Here is a 14,963-nt window from a genome sequence, read left to right as displayed (position 1 = left end):
TTTAGCAGAGGTTTAAAAAGTCAGGTGTAGGAACAGAACTGTTTAAAGGCTATAACTTTGTAATCTCATCTTCAACAAAGAACTTGAATTGTCTGTCCTTAACTACAAAAAAAAACCTTTAAGAAGTTTGAGTATAATAGTATCAAAGCCTTTAGAGCAGGCAGATAGATGATTATTTGTATCTTATTTTGTGATTTCTGCGAAATTGTACTAAAAGACATTTCCTTCATGTTCTCTAAGTTTCTAATGAAAAAAACAATAAAATAAATGTATTTTATAATAAACTACTAAAAAATTGTGTCTTTGAAGATAAACTTTACTTTTTCCTTTTTAAAAACAATAATGTATAATTTGTATTTTCCTTTTCCTTTTTTCTGTAGTTGCCAAGAAGTTCACTGCTAAATTTAATGTTCCATTCTTTCTTTTTCTCATGTGATTCATCCCTGACATATCTGCCTTTCTTTGTCTTCTAATTGTTTTTTTTTTCTATCTTTTATTGTTGTTCTTTTAAGTTTGTTGGGGGCTATATTGTAAATTGCTTCAAATCATATTTTGAAGGCAGGTAAGGAATAAATCCTGAAGAGGCATCTGAGAAGTGTCTGCTTTGTGGTAAGGAGTGGTTTTGCCCGGAATCTGCCCCATACAAGTGGGGATATACATCTTGGCTTTGAACAAGTGCTCTACCACAATAGAAAAAGATGAAGTTCAAATATTATTCCATGAGAGTTTCATAAAAGTGCTCAGTCACTGTTAACACCATTATGTCTTCAAATTGAAAAAATAACTATATAGCTAAAAATATATTTGTAGATTTTGCTGAAGATTTTCTGTAAATGAAATCCATAAGTCTTATTCTTGCATGATAGCTCTTTCCCTGGAATTCATATCCTGTAACTTACAATGTTTATTCATTCTCTCATCTGAAAATCTTTGGTAAAGCAAACTATAACACTCATACCAGCTAAAAAATCCTTTGTACTTAAAACTCTAAATTTTAGAAGAATAGAGATCCAAATCCAGATGAAGCATAAAAGTTTATGAATAAAAGAGGAAATGATTAATTTTAAATTTGTAAGATAGTTGCTTCATTTGTGGTACTATTTTAAACTATACCATTTACCTTGGCTACAGGCATATTTGAGTGAATTAAAACTGACAACATAGGTTTTCACTTGCTTAACAAGATATTGAAATAGCACGTGGTTTCTTGTGTGCTGTATTCTAGAAAATACATTACAGTATAATAATATCAAATACTATTTGGATATAGATGTTTTGATTCATAATCATGGGTGCTTTATAAATTTTAGGTGCATTATATAATAAATAGGCTTTAAACCCTGATGACCGGAATAATTGCTTTTTTAATATTTTAAAAAATATTTTAATGTTTCCAAATAATTTCAATGAGCCCTTGAGATTTTTTTAAATAATAAAGTTGGTTTTTTGGTTTGTTTGTTTGAGGCAGAGTCTCATTCTGTCATTCAGGCTGGAGCACAGTGGCACAGTCATGGCTCACTCCAGCCTCAAATTCCTGGGCTCAAGCAATCTTCCTGCCTTAGCCTCCCAAGTAGCTGGGACTACAGGCATGCACCAACACATCTGGCTAATTTTTTAAACTTTTTGTAGTGATAGGGTCTCACTGCATTACCCAGGCTAGTCTCAAACTCCTGGACTCAAGAGATCCTCATGTCTCTTCCTCCCAAAGTGTTAAGATTACAGATGCGAGCCATTGCATCCGGCCAGCTTTTTTATTTATTTATTTATTTATTTATTTATTTATTTATTTATTTATTTATTGAGACAGAGTCTCGCTCTGTCGCCCAGGCTGGAGTGCAGTGGCGTGATCTCAGCTCACTGCAAGCTCCGCCTCCTGGGTTCACGCCATTCTCCTGCCTCAGCCTCCCGAGTAGCTGGGACTACAGGTGCCTGCCACCACATTTGGCTAATTTTTTGTATTTTTAATAGAGACGGGGTTTCACCGTGTTAGCCAAGATGGTCTCGATCTCCCTACCTCGTGATCCACCTGCCTCGGCCTCCCAAAGTGTTAAGATTACAGGCGTGAGCCACAGTGCCCGGCCAGCTTTATTATTTTGATGACATCTGTTTTTTTTCTTTACTTTGGAGGAAAATATTAGTTAGTAATTTGGAAACCTTCTATGTGGTTAGTGGCTTTAAATACATTCGTTTTATTCCTTTCAACACTTCAAGGTAATGATTGCTTTTCTCCATTTCCTAGAGAAGGAAATAGAGGGTCAGAGAGTTCAAGCTTTTGGCCCCATTTTGAACAGTTTACTAATGTGTAAACCACAGTGGGTTTGAGGCAAAATCCCATTCTGTTTCTCACCACCTCATGGGTAACCCCACGTTAGTTGTCCTTCACATGATGTCCTGTGTTGTTTCATTATGACAAGCACACGCATGTCAGAATTGGTAGGATTCTGGGTACCTGGGACTCTTACATTCATCTCCCAACATGCTCCTGTTCCAGATGTAGTCCTGTGGAGTACTCATCAAAAACACCTGAGCTTTTGTCTTCATTTTTACCTCTAAGGAGCAGTGTGATCCTGAGTAACCCACTATAGTTTTTTCACCTGTAAAATTTGGAGATTATATCTGATGATCTCCAAGTTTGTTTTCTGCATAAATTCTATAATTCAGAGAACCCAGTGAAGGAGAAAGAGTGGAAGAACAATTAATAGGATAAGATAATAATAAACTAGACTATTTACAAGGTAATTGAAATAGCAACACATCAATGGAAATCTCACTCTACTTTTTTTTTCTCAAGGCAATGCCATCCGTCTCATGGCTTAAATTAAATATTTCTAAATGTATGTTTCTAATTCAGACCTTTTCTCTGAACTCCAGTAAATTCAACTGTGTATACAGTATTTTCGCTTGGGTATGTCAAAGAAGTCTCAAACTGCACATGTCCAAGATGAGAGTCATTGTCTTACCCTCAGCCCCTTCCCTGGTTTCTGCCTCAGTAAAAATTGCACATGCCAGAAATGCCGGGGTCGCCTTGACTCTTCTTATCCCCCTCTTCTCATATCTGTTGCATCCACAAGTGCTGTCAGCTTAGCTTGGACCATGTATGCTTGTATTTCTCTACTGCAAAATCTTATCTCCGCTTACCTGAACTATCTCATTGATTCCTAACTAGTCTCCACATGCACCTGCACCTCATCCTGCCTTTCTCCAAAGGGCAGCCACACTACTATTTTCAAATTGCAAACCTGTCCAATTAAAATCCATCTTTGATTTTAGGATTAAGACCGAAATTCCAAACAAGATCCCTATGGAAGAAAAAAAGTTTTCCTGTTCTCTCTCTCTTTTTTTTTTTTTTTTTTTGAGATGGAGTCTCACTCTGCCGCCCAGGCTGGAGTGCAGTGGCGCGATCTCGGCTCACTTCAAGCTCCACCTCCCAGGTTCACGCCATTCTCCTGCCTCAGCCTCCCGAGTAGCTGGGACTACAGGCGCCCGGCTAATTTTTTTGTATTTTTAGTAGAGACGGGGTTTCACCGTGTTAGCCGGGATGGTCTCGATCTCCTGACCTCGTGATCTGCCCACCTCTTCCTCCCAAAGTGCTCCTGTTCTCTCTTATGGTCTGTTTATGGTTCTTACTAATTACGATAACAAAAGACAGATTAACAGGAGAAACATACACATTTTCAGAGGGATATGCTGAAGGTATTAGTATTAGGGTGGAAGTTTAGTTATTATATTTGTTATACAAAAATGGAGGATTAGTTGGAGGGTCTTAGATTTTTAGGAAAATTACATCAATCGAGGGGTAACTGTTGGGGTGTTCATGGTTAAAATATGATTTCTGGGCTCTGACTGTATTTCATTTTAGTCTCTGGTTTTTGGGGTTTGGCAAGGGTACGTTTACCTATGTCCTGCTTTTAGGCAGAAAAGGGAAAGGTGGAGAGCCCTTCATGCACTTTCTGTTTCTCAATTGCCTTTACCTCAGAATAATCAATATGCCAAAATGGTATGTTTTTTGGTGGTGTGCTGATCCTCTTCACCCTTAAGCAGCATCCTGGATCAGTCCCTCCCTGCCTCTCAGACCTCATCTGGTATCACTTCCTCTCTTGCTCTCTTGATTCTAGCTATAGAGGTCACTTTTCCATGGCAACTCTGGTCATGGAGACTTATCCCTGCTCTGCTTTTTCCTCCATCTAAAATGCTTTCCCTCCTTTTCCCCTATGCCCAGTTGAGACCCACTCACCTTAGGTCTAAGCCAGTATATATATATATATATATATATATATATATATAGAGAGAGAGAGAGAGAGAGAGAGAGAGAGAGAGAGAGAGAGATGGAGTCTTGCTCTGTGGCCCAGGCTGGAGTGCAGTCGCGCAGTCTCAACTCGCGCCATCTCAACTCACTGCAACTTCCGCCTGCCAGGTTCAAGCGATTCTCCTGCCTCAGCCTCCCGAGTAGCTGGGACTACAGGCACCTGCCACCACGCCCGGCTAATTTTTTGTATTTTTAGTAGAGACGGGGTTTCACTGTGTTAGCCAGGATGGTCTCGATCTCCTGACCTCGTGATCTGCCCACCTCTTCCTCCCAAAGTGCTCCTGTTCTCTCTTATGGTCTGTTTATGGTTCTTACTAATTAAGATAACAAAAGACAGATTAACAGGAGAAACATACACATTTTCAGAGGGATATGCTGAAGGTATTAGTATTACGGTGGAAGTTTAGTTTTTATATTTGTTATACAAAATGGAGGATTAATTTAGTTGGAGGGGCTTAAGATTTTTAGGAAAATTACGTCAATCAGGGGGTAATTGTTGGGGTGTTCATGGTTAAAATATGATTTCTGGGCTCTGACTGTGTTTCATTTTAGTCTCTGGTTTTTGGGGTTTGGCAAGGGTACGTTTACCTATGTCCTGCTTTTAGGCAGAAAAGGGAAAGGTGGAGAGCCCTTCATGCATTTTCTGTTTCTCAATTGCCTTTACCTCAGAATAATCAGTATGCCAAAATGGTATGTTTTTTGGTGGCGTGTTCTGATCCTCTTCACCCTTAAGCAGCATCCTGGATCAGTCCCTCCCTGCCTCTCAGACCTCATCTGGTATCACTTCCTCTCTCACTCTCTTGATTCTAGTTATAGAGGTGACTTTTCCATGGCCACTCTGGTCTTGAAGATTTATCCCTGCCCTGTTTTTTCCTCCATCTAAAATGCTTTCCCTCCTTTTCCCCTATGCCCAGTTGAGACCCACTCACCTTAGGTCTAAGCCAGTTTCTATATATATATGTATATATATATATGTGTGTGTGTGTATATATATATATGTGTGTATATATATATGTGTGTGTGTATATATATATGTGTGTGTGTGTATATATATATATATATATAGAGAGAGAGAGAGAGAGAGAGAGAGAGAGAGATGGAGTCTTGCTCTGTGGCTCAGGCTGGAGTGCAGTTGCATGATCTCAGCTCACTGCAACTTCTGCCTTCTGGGTTCAAGCGATTCTCCTGCCTCAGCCTCCCGAGTAGCTGGGATTACAGGCATGCACTGCCACGCCCAGCTAATTTTTGTAGTTTTAGTAGAGACGGGCTTTTGCCATGTTGCCTGGGCTGATCTCAAACTGCTGACCTCAAGTGATCTGCCCACCTCGGCCTCCCAAAGTGCTGGGGTTACAGGCCTGAGCCACCGCACCCAGCCTCTTATATGGTTTTATAAAACCACACTCTTCTCTTTCAGAGTATTTCCCTCCATTTTATAATTATAAACTCATGAACAGTAAGTAGTATTTGATTAATCGCCTTCCAGATGATAGTGTAAACTACAGGAAGCTTCCATGTACCCACTCTGCTAACCCCTGTACCATAAAGAGCATCTAACATCAGAGGGGTTCATTAATATTTGTTAGATGGGTGAATAATAATTATACTTTTTAGAAGGAATATTTGCATTCATATGGTCACTTTTGTGATTGTATGGCTTTATCAACAAATGTAAATTATTTGCATTTTTAAAAAGACCTTTTGTTAATTTTTTTTGCCCTTTAAATATTGTTCAAGTGAATAAAGGAACTTCTCTGAAATTATTTTATTCACAGTATAAATCATAGGAACAAGAACCTAGGCATTACTCCCTTGTTTTCTTTGAAGTGGGTATCTGAAGTCTGCTGTACCTCAGGATCTGTGGAATCCTATGTGTTAACAATAAATTAAACATCGTTCAGGAGCCTACTGTGTGTGAGCGTTTTGTCAGGCCTAGCGATACAGAGAATTAAGCCATGCTGTCTGTCCTCGAGGGGATCACAGTCTAGGGAGGAGAAGGACAAATCAAGAAAGTGAGATAATTTCCACAATAGAGGTAAACCCAGAGGGCTGCAGGAGTGTGTGGAATTTCACTCAGGTTCCTGGGGTCAGAGGCTTTTCTTGGAGATGGTGATGTCAGAGCTTCATTGTAAAGCCTGAGTCAGACTTAGCCAGGGAAAAGAGGAGCGCCTGTGCAACAGCTCGAAGGTGTGAAAGGGTCTGGCGAGCTCTGGGAACTCCAAATATTGTCGCGTGACCTTTGCACAGGATGAGGTGTTTGGAAAGTGCAGAGGGATGACTCCAGAGAGGAAGGCAGAAGACAACAGTTAGAATCTGGAGGAGTTCAAATTTCATCCTGAAAAGAGTAAAGAGCCATTGAAAATTTTGAGCAGGGAAATAGCAGTATTTGTTTTTCTTTTTTTTTTTCCAAACATATTCCTCTGGGTGGGGGGAAATGTAGAGAATAAACATCAGATGGTAGAAAAGGGAGACAAGGCTGGGTACTGTGGCTGTAGTCTAGAGCAGAGATGATGAAGGCTTGACCCAAGGCAGGCCAGTGAGATTTAAGAAAAAATAGGATGCACGGGAGACTTTCAGGACATAGGAAGGACTTCATTACTAACTCAATGGGAGGATTAGGGGTGGTGGTGCGGGAAGTGAGGGGGGCAGGTGAGTTAAGGGAGAAGGCCCTACCAACAGTGATGTCACCCATATGTATGACTTTGACAATGAATGCACCACTATGCCTTTCACATTGGGAAACACAAGAGATTCTCTCTTCCTTTCTTTCTTCATGGAGAGAATGACGAAGGCATGATATGTTTTGGCTATATTCACTTTCAGGCAACGTATGTAGAACAACCAGATGAGATGCCCTGGAAACTGTTGGATATACAGGTCTGAAATTTAGAGGGATTTATTCACACACATATTTGAAACCAATGAATACATGAGATACCTGTTGGAGTTGTGTGTGGAATGAGAAAATCAAGTCGCTAAAGATGATGGGCCTCTATGGAACAGAAACACCGAGGGGAGCACAGAGCCCACAGTTCCTGTGTGCTTGCTGTTAGTTTCTGGCCTTAGTTCACTTGGAGCAGCAAGGGAAGCAGGCTCAAGGGAAGATGTTCTGGGGAACCATAAAGACCGCTTGTAAGTAACCAGGAATCCCATTGTGCTATGTCTTGAGATCTAGCATTCAGTGGATAGGACTCCAGTGGTTTTATTTGAGTCTTAACAAAGAGAACCAGTCAGCACATGAAGTCCAAACCTTCCACCACTCTGCCTCTTTCAAAATGGGTCATGATTGGTGCATAAGAAAGTATGAGGGAGGCCAGGTGTGGTGGCTCACGCCTGTAATCCCAGCACTTTGGGAGGCCGAGGTGGGCAGATCACCTGAGGTCAGGAGTTCGAGACCAGCCTAGCCTGGCCAACATGGCAAAACCCCATATCTACTAAAAAAAATATAAAAAATTAGCCGGGCATGATGGTGCGGGCCTATAATCCCAGCTACCCGGGAGGCTGAGTCAGGAGAATTGCTTGACCCTGGGAGGCGGAGGTTGCAGTGAGCCAAGATCACGCCACTGCAGTCCAGTCTGGATGACAGAGAGACTCTGTCTCAAAAATAAATAAATAAATAGAGTGTGAGAGAGAAGCTGTCCCCGAGTTCATGATGTACAAGCTTAAAACCAATGTTTTGTTAAACTTCAGGTAATATCTCTGGAAATATCCACCACCACTGCCCCCAGCCTATCCATATTAACCTAGCTAGGAATGAAACATACTTAACCAGCAGGATGTTACAAAATGTTCTCGTGTTCTTGATATTCATTAATTCTACCATTCTACCATAGAGAAAAATGAGGCTTTCCCTATTGGATGAATTCCATTCTCCTGCATGGATTCATTGGAAAGTTACTATGCTTCCAGTGTAAGCCATAGCAGAAAAGAAACCAGAATTCCCTTCTCAATTCCTTGTAATGATGTAGGTTTTCATTAAACTGGAATTTGACTTGCCTGTAAAGCAGCCCACTGTGATTATAAAAGTCTGTAGGACTGCCTGTTGGCGGCGATCAAATAAAAAGGCCCCTATTAAATCAGGTCACTGAATGTGTTTGAAGATGGAACTTCCTGAACTAATTGGCAGGAGCCAAAAAGGCAGGTATTCACTCCAGATCATCAAGCACTGTTAATAGGGAAGAAAATGGTCAGAAATTAATAGGGAGTTCTTTTCAGCCATTTCTGTGTTTCATCTGTTTCTGTCTTGTATTTTTCATTAGTTTAGGAAGGTTCTTCATCATAAAAATGTTGATAATTAAGGCACGGAGTCTCATTGCCCTCTTCTGTTGAAATTTGACTTCTAGTCCTTATCTGATTTGGTTACTTTTAACATGCTCTCTTACCAAAGGATTATCACCAACTGGTAAGAGCAAAATTTGAGGTCAGAAGAGTTGTCTAATAGTCCAAATGTCATATGAGTGTGACTGACCTTAAGTCTTAAGGTTCATAAGAATGTCTTTAATTCTGTACAGCTCAATTCCTGCTATTTTTTCCTCACTGTTCTATCTTCTCAGCAAGTTTGATAACAAAGGAAGCCCTAATTAGTGACATGTTGACTTCAATTGCATAGACATAGGACCTGTTATATTTAATATCATTAAATATGGAAGAATTGTTCATATTTTACTATTTTGGTCCTCTAACAGTGTGACCAGTTCTCTGTGATGACTTGTTTTCAGCCACGTATATGAAAACTGAGCAGTATATGAGTTTTAAAGTCAAGTTGACCTTAAATGTCACAATTTGAATATATCTTGCCTGTTACCCCTTATCCCTCTCAGGGTTGGATGAATATGTCTCAGTGTTATGGAAAGATGATTAATTAACGTAGGCTTAAACTTGTCACAGGGGCAGTCGTACATGTAAGAAGGAGCAAACTTGGTAAAATGGACTGGGCCAATGCAAGTTTTACTGAGGACAGTCTGCATTTAATTGTTTTTGAGAACAACTTTTAAGGAACCTTATATAACTTAAGCCTGCTTATTATATTTGGAGTCAGTTTGAAGAAGATAAGAATAAGTAAGGTGGAATATTTTTCTGTGACGCCTATAAGACCGCCTAGGTGGTTCTAAGATGCTTCTGAGACTCCTTTCTGAAACTGACAACTAATTGTGAGTTTTTTTTCATTCATCATAGGAATGACTAAAATGGGTTCTATAGAAATTAAGAGAGAAATAGATTGCTTTTGAAAACAGTTATAAAACATTGTGTCAGAAATTATGCTTGTAATATTTTTCTTTTATAACATCCCAGAGAAAATTCAAGGATACAAACAGATAATGTACAAATAAATAAGAAAGAAAGAGTATACTAAAAATATTGGTAGTTCTTAAAGTTCATTAGGAAAAAAATTAATTCTTGCAGAAAACAGGAAATGTTAACTAGATCCGCAAGAGACATGACCAATTTGCAAAAAGCTAGTCCTTTCTTTTTCATCTTCTTCACACATCCTCTCTGACAGAACTGAGTAACTATGCAACTTGCACATAATAACTACATAGCCAATCGAGCTGCGGAACAAGAGGGGAAAGTGAGATGTCACATAGTCAAATGGACACTTCAATTAACCTTGCTATGAAAGAGTCTATATTCCCCTAATGGTTGTTACTCTTTCCTTATTGTAAATTAGCACCTTGAAGTGGTTAGAAATAGTAAAGAATGTTAATCTCAACCACTTGGGCTCTGACATAAAACTTTCTTTTCTTTTCTTTTTTTTTGTCTTGTTTTGTTTTGTTTTGTTTTGTTTTGTTTCTTTTTCTTTTTCTTTTTTTTTTTTTTTTGAGACAGAGTCTCGCTCTGTCGCCCAGGCTGGAGTGCAGTGTCATGATCTTGGCTCACTACAACCTCTTGCCTCCCAGATTCAAGCAAGCCTTCTGCCTCAGCCTCCCAAATAGCTGGGATTACAAGCAGGTACCACCACACCTGACTAATTTTTGTATTTTTAGTAGAGACAGGGTTTCACCATGTTGGCCAGGCTGGTCTTGAACTCCTGACCTCAAGTGACCCGTGTGCCTTGGCCTCCCAAAGTGCTGGGATTACAGGCATGAGCCACTGCACCCAGCCTAATATAATTCTTTTTCTAATAGCTAAATCCTGCTGGGCAATGACAAAGTTCTCATTGTATTTGTAGAGAAATAATTTATCTTATCTTATATCATAGTTGTACATATTTTGGCAGTACATGTGATATATTGATACATATATAAAGTGGGTAATGATCAAGTCAGGGTAATTGGGATATCCATCACTTTAAATATTTATCTTTTCTTTGTGTCAGGAACATTACAATTCTTCTCTTCTAACTATTTTGAAATACACAACAATTATTGTTAACTGTAATTTCGATAATGTACTATTGAATACTAGAACTTACTCCTTCTATCAGACTGTATTTTTGTACCTGTTAACCAACTTCGCTTTATCACCCCTCACCCTTCCCAGCCTCTAGTAACCATCACAGTAATTAGAGAAATGATTTGTTTTTAAATGTGGTTGGATCCATCTGATACGACCAAGATGAAAGACAAGCTCTGACTTATTTTCACCAGAATGTTCGAAGGAACAGTACAAAATTGGCAATATCTAAATGCTTTGATTTTAGCTTTGGTTTTCTTTGTAGCCATATATTCTAGTCTCAGGGACTGTTTTCTTTTCCTAGATAGCTGTCGCTTGTGGTGCTGCTTCTGTGTAGTGCCTTCTGAACATGTGAATTTGCCATTTTATATTTGGAGTGAATATTATTGGGACTGGAGGTGATTTTGGATTGGGAAAATAAAACCTTCACAGCTTCCATTGACTTACAATATCTCAAGGGAATTACAATAATTACATAATTACAATAATTCCTTTGAGATATTTCTGTGCAAGTAACTCAGGTGTATCGACTTATTCCCAAACTTAGCTGGACCCTTTGTCTTCTGAATAACTCTATTCCATAAAGGGAAAATTCTTTCCAAATACATAAATATGTCTATCAACATCTACAAAGAAGCCTTCTCTCTGACTACCAACTGTGTTGATTGACTGAAATGGTTCTATTATGCTATCCTTTACCTGGAACACCATACCTTCTCCCTGTGATGGCCTTGGTAAAGGGAAATTCTTCTCAGTACAACCAAATCATTTTATTGCTGTGTGGCCAAAAGCAGTAAATAAATCTCTGGAGATGAATTATTTTACTTAAGATTGTAAACTGTACTCAACAGTAAATCATTAATGATGGACCAAAATGCACATTTTTCTGCAACATATATCACTGTGCCTACAGAATACTGTTTGCCTATCCTTAAGTACTCTCTGAAAAAGACTCCAAGAATCATAGGAATGAACTTCCTGTTCTCTCATCCCTACATGGGAACCTGACGTGATCCATTCATTGTGCAGGCACAAGGCCAAGAGTCTATGAAGAAATATTGAACTTCACTAAGATTGTAACTTTGTTTCTTGACTTTGAGGAAAGGGGAAATCGATGTACTTTATTTAGTGTTTCCCCAAACCTCTAATACATTTCTACCCCAAATAGGCCTCTCCATGGCAGTGTTTGGGACTGTTTTGGCAGGTTAAGGAGTGGCATAAAAGGCAGCAAACATAGTGCAGGCATAAACAAACAACTTTCTGGAAGTTTGGGGGATCCCAGCTGGTGTTGAGTTTTATCTTAGCTAGCATTTAAATGTTATCTTTATAGGCATCTGGAATTTTCAAACTTGCAGATTATGTCAGACTGTACTAAAAAGTGGGCATCTAAGCCAAGAAAGAAAAAAAGATGAGAACATTGAGATATGTGAAGAACAGAAAGTTATCAAGAGAGATCCAGTTGACCCACATAGAAAATAATACATTTATGAAAAATAATGCAAAGGTGACTTTTGGGAGGGCAGGTTCAGCACTAACAGTTAAGGCCCATTAAAGGGACCCAAGGGTCACGGATAGCCTAGTTCATAAAGTCACCGCTCCAGTGTGCTCCCGTGATCAATAAGACCACGTAAGGTCTTGAGTGAGGTGGGAGGATATTGGACAGAAAAAGAAAACAATCCTACCCATATTCGAAACCACGTGAATATGGGCTCCTCAGGCCATAAATTAAATTAGGACCATTTTATGCTATTTTTAAATCCAGTCTTCAGGCAGACTTCACAGAGCTTGAGAGGTTCCATAAGAAGGCATTCCTTGAAAAGGAAGCTTTCAGACATAAAAGAGATGTTAGTAATTTACTTAGCCTATGTAATTAAAAGGTAGAACTTGTTACCAGTCATGTGTTAAAAATATATATGGTTCTAAAAGAGTGACTCTGGATAACGCATACACAACAGATGAACAAGAAAAAAATGGTATATTTGGACTTTATCCTTATTTTTTATGGTGATGTCACTGGACAATTCAGTATTTCTAACTGGTGTATGGAACACATAGAAGGTGAGCAAAAACTGAAAAGATTATTATAGTTTTTACCATTATTATTAATGACTTTATTACCACCTCCAGAGGCTTGGATTAAGCCCAGATTTAGACATTTTCTTACGTCCTAGGTAGTTAATCTATTGCAAGGCCAAAAAATTACTTATGTTAGATTTGCTATAGTATCGGCATAGGTTTTCTTATCAGATAGCCAAAGGGTATTTTTTGAATTCTTAGCTATCACTTTCATTAAATAATAATTATTTTCTACATTCTCAAGGTACCTTATAGCCTTTTACACTCTTTAATGTGTCTTTTTTTTTTTCTATTCCTCACAACAAATGACTATACATATCAAATGGAAATCTTCCAGGAAGATAAAAGGTTTATTAATTGTTTTTTTCATGCCTCATCCTTTAAATTTAAGATCATTATCTATTGATATTAATTTTTGTCCTAAATAAATCCCATTTTGACTTTCTTAGCCTTTTTTTATGATGATGATGTCAATACTCATTGGATGCCATCTGGACTGTTACTGAAAGAATAAAATCGTCAAAGTCAGAGGCAATATTGCAAATTTGTTTTGGGAGATTTAACTGATGCAGACATATTACATTTTCATTTTGTAGTAATCTTCTCTTGAAATTGTTTCTCACAAATATTGGCTATTCTTTAAAGCAACAGACCTGAGAAGTTTAATTCTGTTCATTGGTGAGTTATTTTTTTAAATCCTAGAGATTATAGGCTGCTAAAATAAATAAATAAATAAATAAATAAAAGCCTATGGGGTGAGGGTGGGGATGGCTTGCTCTCTTTGAATTAATGCATTAACATTGCTTTCTTCTGAATTGCTAGTCCGGATGTGTTTTTGTAAAATGCTGATTTATCAGACAGCACATTCAAGGTGCATGTATAATCTACTGTTTTGCAGTGCCTTTTTATTCTGATGACATCATTTGGTTTTCTCCTCATGCCTCTTTCTGTTTAATCATAAGTAGAAGAGCTCCAAATTTTTACCTCCTAATAATTCTAGGAGAGAGAACTGTCCCTGTCTCACTGTCCCTGTCCTTAGCCTTTCTCTCATCATAGCCCCCTCCCCAAGCTAGCTGGCATTAATCATTCCTTTTCTTGCATTTTCCTAGCACTCTGTTCTTCTTCATGGAATTTTTCTTACCTGACATTTTATTCTCGATGGACATGTGATATGATCCTTAATAACGGCTTTAAGCACCTGGAGTACAAGAATAATCTCTCATTTCAATTTGCGTCCTCTTTAGTAATCAGTGTTTGGCACACAGTAGACATTCAGAAAATGTTAATGACTTCTCATAGGACAGCTGATGTCCCCAGCACTCAGGTGCATCCACAAAAATTTCACTTTCCGATTCATTGGCTGTGGAAAGAGCACTCAGTGTAATTATTTGCTCTGTTGGCATCCGGTGCTGCACATCGCTTTTATCTCAGCAGGGAACACTAGAGAGATAGGAACTCGGTTTTGCTGTCTGTTACTAGCTTAGACGCATTTCAGGATGAAGAGCCAGGAAATTAAATACAAGTTTCAAATTCCTCCAGAGCCCCCCAAACACTCTCCATTTAAATTTTGTCGTTTGGTTTACAGTTAATTTTTAGAAGATTGGATATTCTCATTCAAATGTAAGTATTCCTCTGTCTGAGTAGTGGAAAGAGTACATACCGGTGGTAGAGGGGCCTGGATTTTCGTGCCATTTCTCCCGTTGCAAATGAGAACATTATATTTTAAACGGCAGCCCTGGCTCTGATGCATATATGATTGTGAAAGTGTTTTGGTCATAAGTGCTGTCAGCAACTACTAGCATTTATTAAGTGCTCATACTCTACCAGCATTCAGTAAGTATTCCTTAAATGTATTAATTTATATATTTATGGTCTTATAAGTAAACAGAAGTTAAATAACTTGGTCCAGGTGTTACTGTTAGTAATAGAGCTGATATTTAAATCTTGGTTAATCTAATATATATGGAACAAGGAAGAATAAATAATACAGATCACCTGCACATGTACCCCCTGAATCTAAACAACAACAACAAAAGTGCTACCAGATTAGGATATGTATATGTATGTGTATATACACACACACACACACATAACTTACGTGTGTGTGTGCATTATGTGTGTATAGATATCTAGGACCACAGACCACATATTATATAATACATAATATGCTGTATATATATTTTATATATAC

The 14,963-nt window shown here is 38.5% G+C and overlaps 1 protein-coding gene across 22 annotated transcripts in view, besides 1 other annotated feature; it reads left to right on the top strand.

Annotated features, from left to right (window-relative positions):
* Positions 1–14,963, top strand: part of RGS7 (regulator of G protein signaling 7) — a 582,489-nt gene that overhangs the window by 263,883 nt on the left and 303,643 nt on the right. The gene's annotated exons all lie outside the window — the stretch shown is intronic.
* Positions 3,995–4,166: a silencer, noted in NCBI's record as "fragment chr1:241252482-241252653 (GRCh37/hg19 assembly coordinates)". NCBI's record gives its function as "represses an EF-1alpha promoter that drives an FKBP-Casp9 reporter gene in an ReSE screen in phorbol 12-myristate 13-acetate-treated (for megakaryocytic differentiation) K562 erythroleukemia cells {active_cell/tissue: K562(+PMA)}" and the evidence as "EXISTENCE:reporter gene assay evidence [ECO:0000049][PMID:32094911]".

The sequence above is a fragment of the Homo sapiens genome, chromosome 1 (assembly GCF_000001405.40).
Source record: "Homo sapiens chromosome 1, GRCh38.p14 Primary Assembly".
In the NCBI taxonomy this organism is placed as follows: domain Eukaryota; kingdom Metazoa; phylum Chordata; class Mammalia; order Primates; family Hominidae; genus Homo; species Homo sapiens.
This window is presented reverse-complemented; position numbering and strand designations above follow the sequence as displayed.